This window comes from Homo sapiens, chromosome 13 (genome assembly GCF_000001405.40).
Source record: "Homo sapiens chromosome 13, GRCh38.p14 Primary Assembly".
Taxonomy (NCBI): domain Eukaryota; kingdom Metazoa; phylum Chordata; class Mammalia; order Primates; family Hominidae; genus Homo; species Homo sapiens.
In genome coordinates, this window is record NC_000013.11 from 113,737,749 (window position 1) to 113,757,267 (window position 19,519).

The following is a 19,519-nucleotide window of genomic DNA, read 5'->3' on the forward strand; positions in this document are numbered from 1 at the left end:
GCGTCTGACACTTCTGAGACCTGGGATGTTCAGGAGGAGCTGTGGGGCGTCCAGTGCTTTTTGACATAAAACTACCCATCCAGGTGCACCTGAGCAGGCGCAGGCAGGCACAGGAGGAGGCCCGTGGGAAGCGGCCTGCAGGACAGATTTCCGTGCCCACTCTTTCTCCTTCCTTCCTTCCTTCCTCCTTCCCTCCCTTCCTTCTCTTTCTTTCTTTTCTCTTCTCTTCTTTCCTTCTTTCCTTCTCTTTCTTTCTCTTTTTCTTTTTTTCCTTTCCTTTCCTTCCTTCTTTTCTTTCTTTCTTTCTTTCCTTCCTTCCTTCCTTCCTTCTTTCCCTCCCTCCCTCCCTTTCTGTTTCTTTTCTTTTCTTTTCTTTTTGAGACAGATCTCTCTCTGTCACCCAGGCTGGAGTGCAGTGGCACAATATCAGCTCACTGTAACCTCTGCCTCCCGAGAAGCTCAGGTTCAAGCAATTCTCCTGCCTCAGCCTCCCGAGTAGCTGGGACTGCAGGTGCCTGCCACCATGCCTGGCTAATTTTTTGTACTTTTAGTAGAGATGGGGTTTCACCATGTTAGCCAGGATGGTCTTGATCTCCTGACCTCGTGATCCACCCGCCTCAGCCTCCCAAAGTGCTGGGTTTTTGTATTTTTAGTAAGAGATGGGGTTTCACCATGTTGGCCAGGCTGGTCTTGAACTCCTGACGTCAGATGATCCGCCCGCCTCGGCCTCCTGTTTTGTTTTCTAGAATGTTACACATCGATTAGGTAATGGCTATCAGTCTCACTTCATACACTCTGGAACATGAAAGACTCCATTTCTGATTTTTTAAACCCATTTTAACCTGCCTTGCATTCCTATGGCCCTGGACAGGTAAGCAATCTCATCCTGGCTTCACTGGGATCAGGGGGCTTGGAGGGGCTATGAGTGGTCGCAGCAGTGGAGGGAAGCCTGGCTCCCGGTGCCAAAGAGCCCCGTGGCCCCCCCAGGCCCACCAGCAAGACCCTCTGCCTGTTTTAGGGCTGGGTTGCCAGACACGATACAGGACATCCCAATGAATTTCAATTTCAGATAAATAAGGAATCATTTTTTAGTGTAAGTCTATCCCATGCAGTGTTTGGGACATACTTGACCTAAAAAATGATTCATCATTTTTCTGAAATTCAGATTTAATGGGATGTTCCGCAGTTTTCTTTTGGTTAACTCTGGCAAGCCTGTTGCAGATTATATATTTATCTGTAAGATCAGCAGTGGTTCCACTGCACAGGCAACCTGTTGGGATAAAACCACAAAAGCAGCTTCGTTTTTGGCTTCTGCCATCTCTTGGGTCAGTTGAGTGGTGTTTTCACCCCTCGATGAAACTCATGCTCACCCCATGCATTCATACAAGGCATTCGAAAGCCCTATTGTCACTTTATTTTTTATTTATTTTTTTTTGAGAAGGAGTCTTGCTCTGTCGTCCAGGCTGGAGTGCAGTGGTGCAATCTCGGCTCACTGCAAGCTCCGCCTCCCGGGTTCACGCCATTCTCCTGCCATAGCCTCCCAAGTAGCTGGGACTACAGACGCCCGCTGCCATGCCTGGCTAATTTTTTGTATTTTTCAGTAGAGACGGGGTTTCACCGTGTTAGCCAGTATGGTCTCGATCTCCTGAGCTGGTGATTTGCCGGCCTCGGCCTCCCAAAGTGCTGGGATTACAGGCGTGAGACACGGTGCCCGGCCTCTTGTCACTTTATTTTTAAAAACTTCTAAATCTTTGTGTCCCATGGAGAAAATACATCACGAATGCTGAGTCAATGATCCTACGGAGACACCCCGGCGGGCCCTGCCCAGTTCTGGAGCTCTGACACTGCCTGCCCCCGCCTGTTTGCTCCCCACCCAGGCAGCACCAGCCTCCTCTCAGGGGCTCAGTGTGCGTGGCCCCATAATGGTCACAGCTCCACATGCGATGAGCTTTGGTGCCTCCGTTCCCGCGGGGCTGCAGTGTCTGACGGTGGCGGTGCATGTGTCTCATGCCCACCTGCCTGCAGAGTGGCCCTGCTTCCTGTGGCCAGCCTCGGCCTCTGGCTCTTCAGGGCTGAGCTGGGATGAAGGAAGGCATCCAGGGCTATTCTTGCCTGCCTGGTGCTGCTGCACGTGGCTCGGTGCCCTCCGGGCAGATGTCTCTATGGACTCTTCATCTGGGCCCTCTGTTGTGGGCAGTCTTGGGGTTTCAGGCCCCTGAATCTGGGCAAATACTCTCTCCTCAGCGGGGACGACCCCCTGCTGCCCTCCCTGGGCTCTCTCTCGGTGCTGCCTGGACCAGCAACACCCCGCTCTGCTGCCCAGGCAGCCGTCTGGCCGGTCTGGGTTTGTAATCTCCCTTGGGGTCAGCAAAGGATGGGACTGCACATCAAGAGGCCCAGGCATCTGGGCATCTGGCTGCAGTGAGGCAGGCATAGGTGCACCCTCTGCAGAGAAGCTCTCAGCTTCAATCCTCTTATCCTCAATGTAGGCCACGGCCCCCTCAGAAGCCCATGGGAATCCCTGCAAGGTGGCTTTGTCTCATCTGCGGAGTTGGCTGATGCGATCGGCTCATGCTGGGGCCAAAAACATGGCAAGAAACGTCCCACTGTCAACCTCCCGGGCAAGCGTGTGCACCTGCAGCTCAGGGCCAGCCCACCACACTGCCTTAGTGACACTGCAGCCGGGGGAGCCACAGGCCGCCAGCAGGCTGAGGAACAATGCCGTGTGACCTTTCCTTTTGTAAAAAACAAAAACTGCAATTTTTATTCAAATAAAAAAAGGGTAAAAATAAAAGTTAATAAGGAAGAGTGAGTCCCTGGATTGTGATATGATTTCCAAGTCACATACTTTCCTTCAGAATTACACACAGGTGCACACATGCGCACACACACACACCTCTACACACATACATGCATGCGACATGCCTTCATTTTCATCTCCATGTAGCTGGCAGACGTCAACATTGTCGGTCAGGGCTGAGTCCCCAGCGTCTGCACTTGCTCACGCGTCCTCCTTGTTGCAGTGAGCACCGGGAGCTTCACCCACATTCACACTGGCTCAGGGCTGTCCTGCGGGAGCTGCCTGCTTTCCCTCTGCCTCTGGCCTCCTCCCCTGGAGGAGAAACGGCTGGAGCTGCAGGCATCTCTCCCGTCCCCTCTGCGCTGCGGTGGTGCTAGGCACTCCCATGAGGGCTGGCAGAGAGAAGGAAGCCAGGGCTTCCCAGGAGAGACCGTGGAGCTCAGCATGGATGCATGAGAGGCCGTGGAGCTCAGCGTGGATGCAGAAGAGGCCGTGGAGCTCAGCATGGATGCATGAGAGGCCGTGGAGCTCAGCGTGGATGCATGAGAGGCAGTGGAGCTCAGCGTGGATGCAGAAGAGGCCGTGGAGCTCAGCGTGGATGCGTGAGAGGCCGTGGAGCTCAGCGTGGATGCGTGAGAGGCCGTGGAGCTCAGCGTGGATGCAGAAGAGGCCGTGGAGCTCAGCGTGGATGCGTGAGAGGCCGTGGAGCTCAGTGTGGATGCCTGAGATGCTGTGGAGCTCAGCGTGGATGCGTGAGAGGCTGTGGAGCTTAGCGTGGATGTGCCTATGGGGCCAGCTGGCCTCTGGGGAGGGCCGTGCCAGAGACAGCCTTGCAGGAAATTTGGGGCCGGTTCTGATAACTCCAGCAAGGGCTGCAGGCTCAGCACTTCTTATTTTATTCCTTTACTCAACTATTTATGATATTGTCAGAGTGGCGGTTCTTTCTTTTTTCCTGTCTGCGGTCTGTGGGTTTGCTGAGTATGGAATTACCTCAATGTGAGCTCCACCACAGCGAGTCCTCGAAAAGCTGGCAGTCTCTGGCTGGGGCCCATTGTGTTTTGTTTTACAATGGGGGTCTGTCCCCTCTGTGAGTGTTTAGACACGTAAATGGGCCTCAATTGCAAATAAAATGTACAGATTACAGGCATTATGCCAGTCAATGGAAGAGCAGTTTTGAAAGAAAACCTCAATCTGATAACATGAAATTACAAATAAATATGAGATTGGTTCTCAGTTTCTATCTAGGCAATTTAAAATGGATATAAGAAGCCTTGATTTGATTTTTAAAAAACCAAGCCCCAATCCCCCAATTACAGTAGTGAAATGTTCTTCCAAGTTCAACCTTTTTATTTGCAAGACAAATGAGCTGAAGGCTGAATGTTACCAAGGGTGAGGCATTGTGCTGGGGTTTGAGGACGACAGCATGGAGAGCGATGTACCTGGCATTCTCCCGCTGGCATGGGTGGGATGGCTCACTGAGCCTCAGCTCTCGGTCCCTGGCATTCTTCGGCTGGCCTTGTGGGGGCGACTGGCTGAGCCTCAGCTCTTGTCCTGTCACGTGGGTCCCAGGAGCCCCACTGCCACCCTGGCCTGTCAGTATCCAATATGCACTGTGTGCTTGGAGGCGAACTGTCCAGCGGGTCTGGTTTCACAACTGCAAAGGGCGTGGCTCTCTCCCTGCAGTGGGGTGATGCAGAGGCTGCTGCACTCTGCACTTTAGAAAAATGCCGCCTAGAACAGGAGGTGCTGGTGAGCCGCCGTTGCCCGGCTCAGGGCTGCGAGAGGGTGGGCTTCAGGCTTCCCGGGGGGTGTAATTCTGCCTTTCCTGCTGGGAGCCCTGAAGAGGTCCCCGGTCACATGGTGACAGAGGCCTTCTAGCAAAGTGCAAGGAGTGTGTTTAATTTTTAAAAATTCATGTCTCTGGGGGCACCTCCTGTCCCCTTCCTGCCCTCACCCCACACCCTGTACAGACAGGCGGGGCGGCCCCTCCCGCTCCCTCATGGCTCGGCTTACGTTATTCATCCCCTGCTCCATTTCATGGGCATTTTGTTACAGGAAGGGTCATGTTTTGCTGCCAGCACTACTGATCCCTGAGAGCTGAGAGCCAGGCCACGTGCACACACGGGTGCCTCAGCAACGACTCCCACCTGAGCTGGGGCCAGGATGCGGAGGCTCTGAACAAACGGGAGGAACTGAGCTTCACAGTTCACGTAACTGCCACCTTCTTAGAGCCCACGTCATTGTCTGAGTCTTGTTGACTCACATCTGCTCAAGCCAATGGGTATTCCCAGCAGTCAGGCCCCCGTGGGTCCCCCATGTCCTCTGCCCAGCGGCCGTGGTGGGTATGGGTAGGAGAAGACCAGGCGTCCCCGTGGCCTCGGCCCAGCAGGTGCTGGTCTGAGTTTGGCAGTTTGGCCTGTATGGTCCTCCTGCAGCTTTTGTTCAGGGAGTGCCTCCTGTGAGAACTGGGGCGAAGGTCCCTGCCCTCAACGAGCTTCTTTTGAACTCAGTAGTGCCTCGGCCACCACACCCCCAATTCCTCCTGCCCTGCTTTTATGCAAAAAAGCCTCAGCTTTTGACTCTTAGAGCTCCAGGGGAGGCCCATTCCCTTGGCAGGTCCCAGCAGCTCCTTCCCCCAACAGGGCTGTGTGGTTGGGGAGGCCCCTCTCCCCAGGTGGAATCAAGGCTAATCGCCTGCCCTGATGGCCCTATCGGGTGAGTCTGGAATCATCCTGATCATTTTTCTGGAGGCTGCATGTACCTTCTTCCTCTGCTTCCTCCCCTGTTCCAGTGGGGGCCAGTAGAATCTGGGGCTCTAGGGAGGGGTCCGTGTGGGAGCTCCAGGCAGGTCTTTCTGTTTTGGTTTCTCCAAAGTCTAAACCCTAAGGAGAAAGAAGCAGGGAAAGAGGAAGAAGGGGATTCACAGGCCTGCGCAGAAAACTAGGAAGGGCTTCCCTGGGGAGGACGGGACGGAGAGAGGGTGGCAGAGCTGGAGCAGGTGATCTCAGCGGCTCCCCAGCCAGGCCTCACTGCAGACTTGGGGGCGCAAGCACCGGACCACACAGCACGCCCACCCTCACTGTGGCCGGAAGATCAGAGGCATGCTGGCCGTGAAAGGCTGCCTGAGCCCCACAGTGGACACTGTGGCAAGTGTGGACCAATGGCCGATGTCTCAGCCCCACCCACTCCGGCCACCACGACACTGCACAGCCTGGACCCAGGCCAGTCCCTGTGTGAGCGTGTGTGCTTGGTGGCGTGTGTGTGCAGGCCTTGTGTGTGTGAGCATGTGCACTCTCAGTAGTGCGTGTGTGAGCGTGTGCATATGTGTGGGGGCGCCTGTGTGTGTGAGGGAGGCCCACGAGGTTGGCAGGCAGACAGGGGTGGGGGTGGGAGGAGAGGCACTGTGCCCTAAGACCAGCCTTGGGAGGGTGGGAGGAGAGGCGCTGTGCCCTGGTGTCTGGGGCCTGGGCCTGCCCCTCCTGGAGCTTGGGGTGGGTACTGGACGGGTTCTGGGACAGGGCGTCTTCCTGGTACTCATGCTGGAGAATCTACTGTGGGCCGCAGGAGGAAGAGGAGCTGCGATGAGGTGTTGCCAGGGCCAGGATTAGGGTTAAGGTTAGGGTTTGCCCCAGAGCCTCCTGGAATTCTACCCACTCAGCACCATCCTCCAAGGCCTGACAAATGCAGCCTCTGCCTGGAACCACTGTGGACCCCCAGGGAGTGGCTCACCAGCTGCTCCTCTCTGCCCCCCGGGGAGTGGTTTCACCTGCTGCTTCCCCAACCTCAGGGAGTGGCTCACCTGCTGCTCCTGTCCGCCCCCCCGGAGAGTGGTTTCACCTGCTGCTCCCCCCACTCCAGGGAATGGCTCACCTACTGCTCCCCTCCACTGGGAGTGGTTTCACTTGCTGCTCCTCTTCGCCCGCCCCCAGGAGTGGTTTCACCCACTGCTCCCCCCCGAAGGGAGTGGTTCACCCACTGCTCCTCCTGCTTGCCTGGGAGTGGTTTCACCAACTGCTCCTTCTCCCCCCAGGGAGTGGTTTCACCTGCTGCCCCTCCGCATCACCCCAAACTCACCCGCTGCTCACCCCCACCACCCCCTGCAGGCCTGGCTACTTAGAGAACCACCTGGGGAGCTTCAAACATCCACCCCCTCCAGCGACTGATGTGCGGGGTCCGGCTGGCCTGTGTCCTGAGTATCTGGGTCCTTAGCCCCTGGGGGACCCTCAGGCGAGGCCACGGTTGACAACCCCCTGCCTGATGTGTTGATCGGTCAGTGAGCTCCTGGTCTGCACACGGGCCGGCCACATCCTGGACTTCCCCGTGAATTCTCCAGCAGGGCAGCCGTGTGGTGGGATGCTGTCACCGCTGTCTGCTTTGTCTCATCGTCTGTTCCATTTCTCTTGCTTCTTACTTCAACTGTGGATTCTTACAGGGCAGAACTGCACGAGTCATCTTTGCACCTTGTCTAGTGTCCTGCACGTAAGGAAATCCAATACATGTGTGTTGACTGAAAGATTAACTTAAAAGTGTACATACAGATAAATGCATGCTTTCCCATTTGGAAGATGTGGTTATGTTTTGACTCAGACTTACCTGGTTTATATCTTGTTTCTCCCATTAGCTATTTGACATTGAAAAAAGTTACTGAATTCTGCGTGCTTCTGTTTCATCATCTGTGAAATGGGCGCCACATGGCAAGGCTGGGATGAGGCAGAAAGTGAAAGTGGCAGCCACAGCGTGAGGCATACAGTAGGCGCTCCATCCACGCTCATCCCGTCTCCCAAACCAGCCACAGGGTGAGGCATACAGTAGGTGCTCCATCCACGCTCATCCCATCTCCCAGACCAGCCACAGGGTGAGGCATACAGTAGGCGCTCCATCCACGCTCATCCCATCTCCCAGACCAGCCACAGGGTGAGGCATACAGTAGGCGCTCCATCCACGCTCATCCCATCTCCCAGACCAGCCACAGGGTGAGGCATACAGTAGGCGCTCCATCCACGCTCATCCCATCTCCCAGACCAGCCATAGGGTGAGGCATACAGTAGGCGCTCCATCCACGCTCATCCCATCTCCCAGACCAGCCACAGCGTGAGGCATACAGTAGGCGCTCCATCCACGCTTGTCCCGTCCCCAGACCAGCCATAGGGTGAGGCATACAGTAGGCGCTCCATCCACGCTCGTCCTGTCCCCAAACCAGCCACAGGGTGAGGCATACAGTAGGCGCTCCATCCATGCTCGTCCTGTCCCCAAACCAGCCACAGCGTGAGGCATATAGTAGGCACTCCATCCACGCTCGTCCTGTCCCCAAACCAGCCACAGGGTGAGGCATACAGTAGGCACTCCATCCACGCTCGTCCCATCCCCAAACCAGCCATAGGGTGAGGCATACAGTAGGCACTCCATCCACGCTCGTCCCGTCTCCCAGACCAGCCACAGCGTGAGGTGCACAGTAGGTGCTCCATCCATGCTCATCCCGTCTCCCACACCCCAATTTGCCCAAAGCCTTCTGAAGGGTGTGGGAAACTTTCAGGAGTCTCTGTTGTTTCTGGGGCAACATCGGGGCTGTGAAAGGAAAATAAAATCTGGGGACTCCAATTCACCGCCAAAGGAAACCCTTAAAGCTGGAAGCTGAGCCCTGTGAGGAGAGGCCTTTCCTTGTGTTCCTGAGCAGGGAGCTGCCCAGCAAAGGCTCAGCGTCTTCACCAGCAGCTGCTCTGCGTTCCCCTGGCCTAGTGCAAAGTCCGACTTTCTGAGCCCAGGACAAATGCATCATTCACCATTGTCCTGCCTGTTCCTTTCTCCTGCAATGCATGGGTTCAGTCTCGCAACCAAACCTCCCTCTTTCCCCTCCAGCCTGCATTTCCCCTTTAAAATACTGAAACCCTCAAAATCATCTTTGGAGAAAGTCACAGAGCTCTCTCCCATGTGTGCCCTTAACCTTGGCAAATGAACCTCTCAATGGATTGAGGCCTGTCTCTCATGCTTTCTGGTTTACAGGGCCCATGTTCATGTGGAGAAAGTCAAGGTAGGAAACCTCAGGGCACTTTCATTTTCCTCTAGGCAGGAAGGAATCTGGAATTGGGAAGGACAGCAGGCATTTTTTCTAGCGGTTCTAGCGAATTATCTTCTTACCGTCAATAACAATTTATCCAGTCTCTCTAATTATCTTCAGTCCGGCGGAAGACAGATTTCCTCATCTAATTGCCTCTTGGAAGAGCTAAAGTAAATTAAATTTAAAAAAATACCCTGATCCCAGGTGACCGCCCCTGCCAAGCTGATCTGGGATTGCAGGAGAGGCGCTGTGGGCCACCAGCTTGGGGCCTGGGGCAGGAGCGGCTCCAGTGGCCAGATCCTAGCCAGCGTCCCTGCCCTGCAGTTAAGCACACGGGCTTTGGGGGTCCGTCCTGGGCCACAACAACCAACCTCCCAGAGCCTCAGTTTCTCGTCTTTGAAGGGGGACCGTGCTGAGATTGTTCAGGGATGGCTTTGGTTTCTGTTACTGAGGCTAAGGCCGGAGGTCCCGGCTCTCAACATGTTTTGCTCGTGTAGTCCTCAAAGAATTTTCAGAAATGTGCCATGTCAACTTTGCATCTAAAATACTTTTGGTTTAGTTGGAAAGGGCAGCAATGTACTCACATGCCGTTTAATGCATTTCCCACAGAACGGGGATCCACAGACGAGGTCCTTTCATCTCGGGGCTCATGGCAACACAGGCCGTGTGCGTGAGCCTGGTCGGTGCCTGAGTCTGCCCCGGCTCTGCCACTGCCTGCTGTGTGACCCTGGGCTGCTCACGCCACTGCCCGGAGCCTTGGCTTCCTTATCTTACACGGCAGTGGTGACAGCCCCTGACGCAAGGCTGTGGCGAGTTTGAACGTGGCGCCTGGAGCAAGGCTTGGCCGGAGTTCACCAAACAGACAAAGGCGACCTGGCTGGGGAGCCAGTCAAAGCGGTTGGCAGAACCGATCTGGCTTCTGTCAGAATTGTTAGGACGTCGGGAGGTGTCCAGTGATGACCCCTCCCTCTGGGTTCTCCGGCCCTGGCGGCTGGGCATGGATGAGGAGAAGGCTGGGCCCTGTGCGAATCCTCTGGGCACAGAATCCGCCGGGCACAGATTCCGCTGGGCACAGAATCTGCCAGACACAGAATCTGCCAGGCACAGACTCGGCGATTCTCCCCTGGAGCCCGGCCTTGCCCCATGCTGTGACTGCTTCTATGTTTGGGGCCCGAGGGTCACGCAGGGAGAGCTGCACCTCAGGGAGGCTGGGCTGGGGATGGGGTTGGCTCCTCTTGGTGGCAGTCGGGTGGGAAGGGGACGCAGTGGACCTGGGGCCCTGGACTCACCCAGATCTACTGTGGGAGAGATTGCATCTGGAAATCAGGGGTCTGGATGTGATTCCCTTAGGCAATTGCACCACCTGGAAAATGTTCGTACGCCCCCAGCATGGAGGTGTCCAAGACGCTGGGACCCTCAAGGTACTGTTGTGCGTCGAAGCCTAACACACACACGCTTATCCCATTACAGCTCTGGGGGCCCAAGTCTAAAACGGGGCTCACAGGGCTAAGAGGGAGGTGTGAGCAGGGCCACACTGCCTCTCCTGGCTCAGGCAAGAGTCAGCACCCCTGGCTCGCAGCCCTGCCCCTCCCTGACGCTGTCCTGCCATCATGTGGCCTTAGTGTCCTCTCTGGTCACACCTCCCTCCGCCTCCCTCCCTGGGGACCTCGTGGTTACATTCCGTTATCACTTGGACAGTCCCAGATCAGTCCCCGCCTCAAGGCCCTGACCCTAATCCCATCTGCAAAGTCACTGTCTCCGTAGCACGTCAGGTGCCCAGGGACAGGCACGAGATCCTGAGTGTGCTGGGATCTTCACTCAGCCAGGCACCCCCTCAAGCGAGGGACTGAGGAAGGAGTAGTAAAGGCCACCCAGCCACGCGCATAACCACGTTTCTCCCGTAAGATCGCGGTGCTGTGCTTTTACTGTGCCATTTCCAAGCTTGGATGTGTTTACATGCACAAATGCTTACTACAGCTCCTCCAGGGATCGGCGCAGGCACCTGCAGCACAGGTGTGCAGCCAGGGCCACACCGTGAAGCCTGGGCAGGCAGTGGGCCCTGCCCTCCAGCCGTGTGAGTCGCTGCGATGCTTGCACAGCGAGGGGAGCACAGCCATGGGAGCACAGCCACGGGAGCACCTCAGGACGCCTCCCTCAGCCATTGCTGTCCTTAGGCTTCTGTGGGAAGAGACTTAGGGTGTTGGTTCCCACCCTGGGCCCTGTTCTATCCCATTCCTGAGGGCCCAGGGACAGGGCTGTTCCCACGTCCGAGGAAAGCAGCTTCCAGGGGAGCAACGGAGGGGCCTGTCCCTGGGAGGGGCTCAGCCAGGCCGCAGGGACCTCACGAGGAGGCCTGGGATGAGGACACTCTCACCTTCCTCCGCCCCTTCATCTCCTGCTGGTGCCTGACTCTGTGGGCGCCCACGGGGCAGGCTCCGGGCCACTCCAGAGCGCAGGGCGGGTGGAGGAGGAAGGGTGTGGGGGCAGGTGGCGGGAACCACACAGGCCTCAGTGGAGCCGGTGCCTTCATCTCAGAGGTCCTCATGGCAGCACTGTTGCCCCAGGAGGTGTCTGGGGACATGTGTGGGGGTCAGGGTCTTGCTACAGGGCAGGGGCACCATGGGTGTTCGCCGTGGGGCTGGGAGGCAGAGCCTACACCTGGGCACAGTCCTGCAGACCTAGCACCCATGAGCCACGGCCGCCTCGCCTGCCCTCATGCTGGCCTCAGGTGCCCCTCACAGGTTGACACACCCGGCTTACTGTCCCCAGCACCACACTCCTCGGGGATGGCTGCGGCTGGCGTGGGTACTCTCTGCAGCTGTGCTGACCCCACAATGGGGTTGGCTTTGTGGGAGTCGAGCCCCATGTACGTCATCAAGGGCTTCCATGCCCTGGGCTATGTTGCTGCTGGTGGGACTGAGCCCTTGCTCAGACTGTGGGAAGAGCCACTTCAGGCCTCACCCAAGACAGCCCAGAGGCTGGAGTGGCCTCTCCCCACCAGGTCTGTGCAGGTCGGTGCCCCAGAGGCCCCGCTCACACAGGAACAGGGCGGCTGACTCCCTGCACCCCTGGGGGCCCCGTGAGGTGCTTCCTTCGAGGGTCATGGGGTGGAGTGGGCAGAGCACGGCTCCCAGGCGCAGGCCCGTGTGCCTCCCTCCAGCCCCCAAGTGCTCCTGGAAGTTTTCCCGGGGTCTCCACACATCTATTTATGTCTGGCCTGTTTGAAACAGGACCCAGCAGGGCCGTGTCCGGCACCTTGTTTATCTGCCCAGACTCTTCGGGCTGTGCATTTGTTGAAGCGTTGGCATCATTTGTTCCACAGAACAGCAGTTCTTCACGTGTGGTCCTTTGGGTGTTTTCAGGGGGGTCTCCAAGACCAGCACAGTCATCTCGGGCCCCTTGCCTTTTTCTCTGTGTTGACATTCGCGGCAATGGCAGAGGGCTGATGGTGGGACACCTGCTGGTGCCTGGGCCCAGATCAAGGTGGCTTTGAGCTCGTGAGGCTTCTCGCCACCATCGCCAGCAGCATTCGGCAGTGACGTTCCTTGTGATGGAGCTGGAGGTTTGCGCACAGTGCTTTGTGTGTGCCATGTGGGCGTCTGGCAGCCAAGCTGAACCAAGCTCCTTTATTCTTGCAACACCAGTTTCCATGGAACAAACAGCGAACAGCCCTGCATACCCAGGCTTGGGTGTTTTCCTGAAAACAACCAAGTAAGCCCATCCCTGTAAGGAAAACAGCTGGGAGTATCTGGCACCAATGATACAATGTTGAGCTTTCAAATGACAAGAGGAATTTTTGAAAACTTGTTTCTCGCATTGTGAGTGTGACAGCTTCCGAATAATTCTCCACATGACCAGCGTGTGATTCCTCAAAATCATGCATAGGTAAAAGACCCATTCAAAGAGCAAAGGGGGCCAGTGGATTTTCATGAACAAAACTCACGCTCAATGAATGCAGAAAGTTGTCTCCACACACAAGCATTTATGTGTTTGTGAATGTGTGTCTCTGTGTACGTGTGTGTGCATGCCTGTGTGTGCATGTCTGTGTGTGGTGTGAGTGCATGTGCACGTGTGTGCGCATGTGTTTGTGTCTGTGTGTGCATGTTTGTGCAGTGTGGTGTATGTGCGTGTCTGTGTGCCTGCATGCATGTGTACGTGTGTGACTGCGTGTGTGTGCGTGTGTGTGCACGTGTATGTCCATGTTTGTGTGTGTGCATGTGTATGTGAGTGCATGTCTGTGTCTGTGTGGTGTGTGTACATGTGTGCATGCATGTTTGCATTTGCATGTGTGCATATGTGCATGTGTGCATATATGTGCACGTGTGTATGCGCATGCTTGGGTGTGTCTGTACGTGTGAGTGCATGTCTGTGTGGTGTGTGTACATGTGTGCATGCATGTTTGCATGTGTACGCATGTGCACATGTGTGCATATACGTGTGCATATCTGCATATGTGCATGTATATACACATGTGTGTAGGTGCATATTTGTGTGTGCATGTGTGGTTGCATGACTGGTGTGTGTACATGTGTGTGCATGTACATGCGTGCATCTGTGCGTGTGTGCATGTATGTGCACACGTGTGTATGTGCATGTGTGTGTGCGTGTGAGTGCATGTATCTCTGTGTGGTGTGTGAGTACGTGTGCATGCATGTGTGCGTGTGCACGTGTGTGTGCGTGTGTGTGCATGGGCACGTCTGTCTCTGTGGTGTGAGTGCATGTGTGTGCATGGGCATGTCTGTGTCTCTGTGGTGTGTGTGCATGTCTGCGAGTGTGCATATGTCTGTGTCTCTGAGTGGTGGGTGCACACGTGAATCCTCCTCCTTGATGCTAGCTGCTCTTACCAGAGCCAGTTCTTGTGGGGAAGCTGAGTGCTCTGTAACTCCCGTGTCTCAGCTCCCTTGCGTGGCCCCTAGAGGCAGACGTGGGAGGAATGCCGCAGCCTCGGAGAACCAGGTCTGGCATTCTTGGTGCTGGTCCCAGGGTCCCGAGGCCTGCTTTCCACAGTCACGCTGTAGAGACGGCTCCTTGTGGAGACACCTTCTGTGTGCAGGCACGAGGTTTCTCCTCTGCCCCAGGCTTCGGTGCGGAGTGTCTGGGGGGACAGAGCCACCAGATGTGAACGCTGTGCTAGTCGCCCTCTCTGGTCTCTCCCTTGGCGTGGCCAGACTCCCCGGTGCATCTGGACATCGTGGCGGGCAACTGCCATTTACAGACACGGGAGGACGTTTTGCATGACCCGCCTTCTGTGTGTTTTCCCACTCTTTGCAAACCCATTGCTTTTCAGCTCGGAGAGTTGCTTTCCAGTTGTGCCAGCTCCGTGGCTGAGGAGGCGGTTTCTTTCCCGTTGTGCCGGCTCCGTGGCCGAGGAGGCGGTTTCTTTCCGGTTCTGCCGGCTCCGTGGCCGAGGAGGCGGTTTCTTTCGGGTTCTGCCGGCTCCGTGGCCGAGGAGGCGGTTTCTTTCGGGTTCTGCCGGCTCCGTGGCCGAGGAGGCGGTTTCTTTCGGGTTCTGCCGGCTCCGTGGCCGAGGAGGCGGTTTCTTTCGGGTTCTGCCGGCTCCGTGGCTGAGGAGGCGGTTTCTTTCCGGCCGCGCTGGCTCCGTGGCTGAGGAGGCGGTTTCTTTCGGGTTCTGCCGGCTCCGTGGCTGAGGAGGCGGTTTCTTTCGGGTTCTGCCGGCTCCGTGGCCGAGGAGGCGGTTTCTTTCGGGTTCTGCCGGCTCCGTGGCTGAGGAGGCGGTTTCTTTCCGGCCGCGCTGGCTCCGTGGCCGAGGAGGCGGTTTCTTTCGGGTTCTGCCGGCTCCGTGGCTGAGGAGGCGGTTTCTTTCCGGCCGCGCTGGCTCCGTGGCTGAGGAGGCGGTTTCTTTCCGGCCGCGCCGGCTCCGTGGCTGAGGAGGCGGTTTCTTTTGGGTTCTGCCGGCTCCGTGGCTGAGGAGGCGGTTTCTTTCCGGCCGCGCCGGCTCCATGGCTGAGGAGGCGGTTTCTTTCCGGCCGCGCCGGCTCCATGGCTGAGGAGGCGGTTTCTTTCCGGCCGCGCCGGCTCCATGGCTGAGGAGGCGGTTTCTTTCGGGTTCTGCCGGCTCCGTGGCTGAGGAGGCGGTTTCTTTCTGGTTCTGCCGGCTCCGTGGCTGAGGAGGCGGTTTCTTTCGGGTTCTGCCGGCTCCGTGGCTGAGGAGGCGGTTTCTTTCCGGCCGCGCCGGCTCCATGGCTGAGGAGGCGGTTTCTTTCCGGCCGCGCCGGCTCTGTGGCCGAGGAGGTGGTTTCTTTCCCGTTGTGCCGGCTCCGTGGCTGAGGAGGCGGTTTCTTTAAGGTCTTTTCTGTGCTGATGTTTTAGCTTTACTGAGATTTTGTTGCTTATCACACAATTCACCATTGAAGTGTCCTGGGCTGATCTGATGCCGATGGCCTCCGAGTCAAATGCTCTCTAAAGGAAATTCTCAGAAGATCTCCGGGGAAAAGCACACATAATTTATAGAATTAGAAAGCAAAGGATTTGTAAGACATCACAAGGAATTCAGTTACCAGTTAGGACTGGTCACCTCCAAACTTAAGTACAAAGAACTTATTTACTTCTTCCAAGGAAATTTATTTGGGGGATTTTTTATGTGGCCATGATGATGCTGTCAGTGGCCGAAGCTGCATTCTGGCAACTCCAGATCCTGGGTGACTTTGCCTAGCTCTGCCCGGCCTGGTGTTGCAGGAAATACGCTAATTCCAGGCACGGAAGCTGGGAGTGCATCCGGTCTGGGGAGACTTTGCCTTTCTAAGAGGCTCTCAGTGCTGTTGATGGTGCACATTCGACCTTTGAGACTTGGAGAAATCAGATTGCAGAAATGATGCAGAGCACCTGAGCAGAACCAATCTGGCGTGAGACACACACGCACACACACACACAATCAGGCGCACCCACCCACACATATACACACACAGGTACACAGTCGTGCACCCATCCACATACGTGCAGTCATGCACACAGCCCTGCACACAGACCTACACATACACATGCGTGCACACAGACATGCACACACACAGTAGGGGCCCTAAGCAGGCGTCCTTAGCCTTTCTGCTCTGAGCTCTGCAGCATCAGAACCTGCTGCCATAACTGAGCCAAGTGAACTCCTGAAGCAGGAGCATCCCCGGGCGTGGCAGGGGAGCGCCCACCACCAAGATTCTGCTGCTGTGCTCGGGGGCAGTTGTGCCTTTTCTGTTTTTCTTTCTTTCTATATTTCCAGGAAATCATGACATTAAAAATGACTTTTTCTTATGACGAATATTCATTGTAGGATATTTAGTGAAAATTCACACAATAAAAACTGTGATTCGTTTGTGCTCTCCGAGTTTCTGGGTTTCCTTGCATTTTTCTGGCAGCTTCTATTCTCTCTGGGTGCTTCCGATGCACACATCGCAGATCCCAGGATGATCTTCCTGCCTGGCACGGCTGCCTCCTCCACGCCACCCCTCATTACCTGTGGTCTAGGAAGACCACCAGTTCCCATTCCAAGCTGCCCAAATAGCTGCGAAATATCTGCTGAAGTAAGAGGAAAAGGTTCGTTATCTTTATTATCGCTTGTTCACCTTCCAGCCTCCCTGTAGTGAGGGTCCTGTCCTGACACAGTGATCCCTGTGGCAAATTCTATTTTCCCCAAATGACCACATCACCTTTCTATTTCCCACACACAAGGAGAGGCTCTTCCTTCTTCCTTTGAATTTTGTCACCGGGCTGCTGAAGAGAAGGCAGCAGAGGTGACACAGCGTGAAGCTGAGGCTGGGTTGCAGAAGGTGCCACAGACTCCACCCGGCTCTCTCTCTTGCCCAACGTTCCTGGGAGTCCAGCCCCCATGTCATGAGGAAGCCCACGTCACCTGGAGAGGTTACAGGCACAGCCACAGTCAGCCACGCGCCAGTCCTGGGAGCCACCCTAGCTCACCCTGAGTGGAGCAGAGGCAGGGTGTCCACTCCTGGCCTTGCCCAAATTTCAACTCCAACTAAATAAATGTGGTTTTTTAAGCCACTGAGTTATGGGGTCATTTGTCCCACAGTTGTAGTAACCGGAATGACCTCCAAGGACCTGTCCCACTGTAAAGATTGGCAATCCTATGACTTCTGTCTCCTGGACTCCTCCCAAGCCTGAATCCCTTCCCGGACGCTCACAGGTCGCAGCGTATCTTGGGTAACCCCATCCACTGCCCCCATCAAGCCAGCCCCCGACCTGTCTCCTGTTTCCCGGAGCTTGCTCAGAGATAACAGATTCATCCGATCCTCCAGGAAGGGCCCGAGCGGCCTGGCTCCCTGCCCTCCAGCTCTTAGCTCTGTGTGTCTCTCCTTGCGGGAGCCCTCCCTGCGACACCTCCCGCTGCCTCTCAGCGCTGAGCTTAACACGGTGGCATCACCTGGGAGGGCTCAGTCTTTCTGTCTCTTCTCCATCAGCCTCTGAGCTCCATCAGGGCCCCAGGTCAGTGATCACTCCTGTGCTTCCACAGCCCAGCGCCAAGCCCAGCCCTGCTCTGGGCCTGGACAATGCTCAGGACAGGACAGTGTGGGAGTCAGCCCCTGGCCCTGACCCTGGCTCTCGGAGCCAGCGCTGTTGCTTCCCTACCTCACTGGATGTTGCAGGAATGGGTTAGAGATCTGAGGACCACGGAAAGTTAGGGGTGAGGGGAGGATGAACCAGTCATGGGGAACCCCGGTATCTCTGAGTGAGTAGAGAAGGAAGGTGGTGCTGGCGGGAAGGAAGGACAGGTGCTGGCTGTGGGTTCCAGCCACTTCCGAGGTGCAGGCCTGGGGAGAGGAGGCAGGTGGGGCCTGCTCAGGGAGCCCCTGAAGAAGTTCTGAGTTGGCTGTGCTCCAGTTGGCCCCTGCACATTCCCCATGCCAGGCAGGCGCTTTTTCTCCTCTTTAAAAAGGCATTCCCTGAGCCTGGTGGAATGAGACAAACATGGAAATCCCTGGGCTGCTCTCAGTGGTGGAAGAGGTTGGGCACCCTGGCGGCTTAGGGTGGGACTCGGCCTGCAGAGCCAAGCAGGCGCCCTTTTTCCTCCTTTTCTTTTCCTTTCGTCCATTTAATTTTTAAAATATAACAGACTGTGGCCGGGCACAGTAGCTCTCGTCTGTAATCCCAGCACTTTGGGAGGCCCAGATGGGAGGATCACTTGAGCCCAGGGGTTTGACATCAGCCTGGGCAACATGAGGAAACCCCATCTCTACAAAAAGTATAAACCTTAGCTGGGTGTTGCAGCACACGCCTGTGGTCCTAGCTACTTGGGAGGCTGAGGTGAGAGGATCGCTTGAGCCTGGGAGGTGGAGACTGCAGTAAGCTATGATCATGCCACTGCACTCCAGCCTGGGCCACAGAGCCACAGCATGTCTCAAAAAACAAAAAAGTGACAGACTGCAAACAAAGGCACACCTGGGTAGAGGATGCACAGGAGCTCCTTGCACTATCCCTGCAAACCACCTTTAGGTTTGAAAATAGATAAAAATAAAAAGTTACAAAAAAGTAATCATCTATTTTAAACATCCAGAAAAGTATAGAGAATAATATAACATCCCTGTCCACACCATCTAGCCTTAATGGTATCTCAACATTCCCCCTTTTTTTACAAGTCTTTTAACTTTTTTAAAGAAAGAAGATTTCACAAATAGAGTTTAAGCCCCTAGACATAGTTCCAAAGCTGTTCAGCTTGTCCACCCAGACAGAGAATCACAGTTCTGGATGAAGCATGCACTCTCCCCCAGCATGTTCTTCTACTTTACTTACACAGTATCCATGCATCTACACACATGACTCACGGTGTCCATGTATCTGCACACACATGACTCATGGTGTCCATGTATCTGCACACACAAGGCGGTGTCCATGTATCTGCACACGAGACTCACGTCCGTGTATCTGCACACATGAGTCACGGTGTCCATGTATCTGCACACACGAGACGGTGTCCATGTATCTGCACACGAGACTCACGTCCGTGTATCTGCACACATGACTCAACGTGTCCGTGTATCTGCACACAGGACTCACGGTGTCCGTGTATCTGCACACAGGACTCACGGTGTCCGTGTATCTGCAAACATGACTCATGGTGTCCGTGTAATCACCTCCTACTGTTTCATCATATCCTATAACCAGTTTCTCAGCTTCCATTCTGCTATCCTACAACTACTCTCCAGTAATCCTATGTGTAGGACCCTCCAATAACCCCCACATCACTCGGAGCAAAGGCCAGAGGCCCTGCGGCTCACCCCTGATGTCCTCCACCTGGTCCCCACAAGCCTCTGGCACCCTGGTCTCCTTGCTGCTCCCCCTGGGCCTGGATGGCTCCACCCCAGGGCCTTTGCATGGAGGTTCCTTTTCCTCAGACCCTCTGCCCCAGATGTCTGGGTGAGCAACCACCTCCACGCCCTCAAGCTTGGTCTTCAACATCACCTGTCAACAAGCTCTCTTTTCACTACTTAAAAACCACAGCTCCCTCCCTCTCCCACACTATACTTTCTATTTTGTTTCTTTACCTCTCTTTCCTTTTTCTGTGGCCTGCATTACCTGGCTGTGTATGTATGTATGTGTGTATGTGTGTGTATGTATAAGTGTGTATGTGTGTGTATGTGCATGTGTGTGCATGTATGTGTGCATGTGTATGTGTGTGCATGTGTGTATGCATGCATGTGTGT

General features: G+C 55.6%; 1 protein-coding gene and 1 long non-coding RNA gene across 4 annotated transcripts, besides 2 other annotated features; both read right to left on the reverse strand.

Moving 5' to 3' along the window:
* Positions 1 to 4,129: 4,129 nt before the first annotated feature.
* Positions 4,130 to 16,371, reverse strand: LOC105377805 (basic salivary proline-rich protein 4-like). 3 transcript variants are annotated; one of them, XM_047430842.1, is made up of 4 exons: positions 13,700 to 16,362; positions 6,926 to 7,273; positions 5,562 to 5,682; positions 4,130 to 4,531 (listed from the first exon to the last, which is right to left on the reverse strand). In XM_047430842.1, exon 1 carries the CDS (start codon positions 14,855 to 14,857, stop codon positions 13,748 to 13,750), a length of 1,110 nt encoding a protein of 369 aa, XP_047286798.1. In that variant the 5' UTR covers positions 14,858 to 16,362; the 3' UTR covers positions 4,130 to 4,531; positions 5,562 to 5,682; positions 6,926 to 7,273; positions 13,700 to 13,747. The 3 variants fall into 3 exon arrangements, with proteins under 3 accessions (XP_047286798.1, XP_047286797.1, XP_047286799.1); XM_047430841.1 differs by having other exon boundaries at positions 4,130 to 5,265; XM_047430843.1 differs by having other exon boundaries at positions 4,130 to 5,682; positions 13,700 to 16,371.
* Positions 5,504 to 6,005: an enhancer, noted in NCBI's record as "H3K4me1 hESC enhancer chr13:114446225-114446726 (GRCh37/hg19 assembly coordinates)". NCBI's record gives its function as "activates a minimal SCP1, AML or CMV promoter by ChIP-STARR-seq in naive H9 embryonic stem cells {active_cell/tissue: H9 hESC(naive)}" and the evidence as "EXISTENCE:reporter gene assay evidence [ECO:0000049][PMID:30033119]".
* LINC00552 (long intergenic non-protein coding RNA 552) lies at positions 10,763 to 13,341 on the reverse strand. The gene has a single exon (NR_028064.1). It is a non-coding gene; the product is annotated as a long intergenic non-protein coding RNA 552 (long non-coding RNA).
* Positions 15,453 to 15,671: a silencer, noted in NCBI's record as "fragment chr13:114456174-114456392 (GRCh37/hg19 assembly coordinates)". NCBI's record gives its function as "represses an EF-1alpha promoter that drives an FKBP-Casp9 reporter gene in an ReSE screen in K562 erythroleukemia cells {active_cell/tissue: K562}" and the evidence as "EXISTENCE:reporter gene assay evidence [ECO:0000049][PMID:32094911]".
* Positions 16,372 to 19,519: the final 3,148 nt, after the last annotated feature.

Bases quoted from the DNA above. Each gene is read 5' to 3' on its own strand.
- LOC105377805 (XM_047430842.1), bottom strand. From the start codon at position 14,857: ATGGAGCCGGCGCGGCCGGAAAGAAACCGCCTCCTCAGCCATGGAGCC.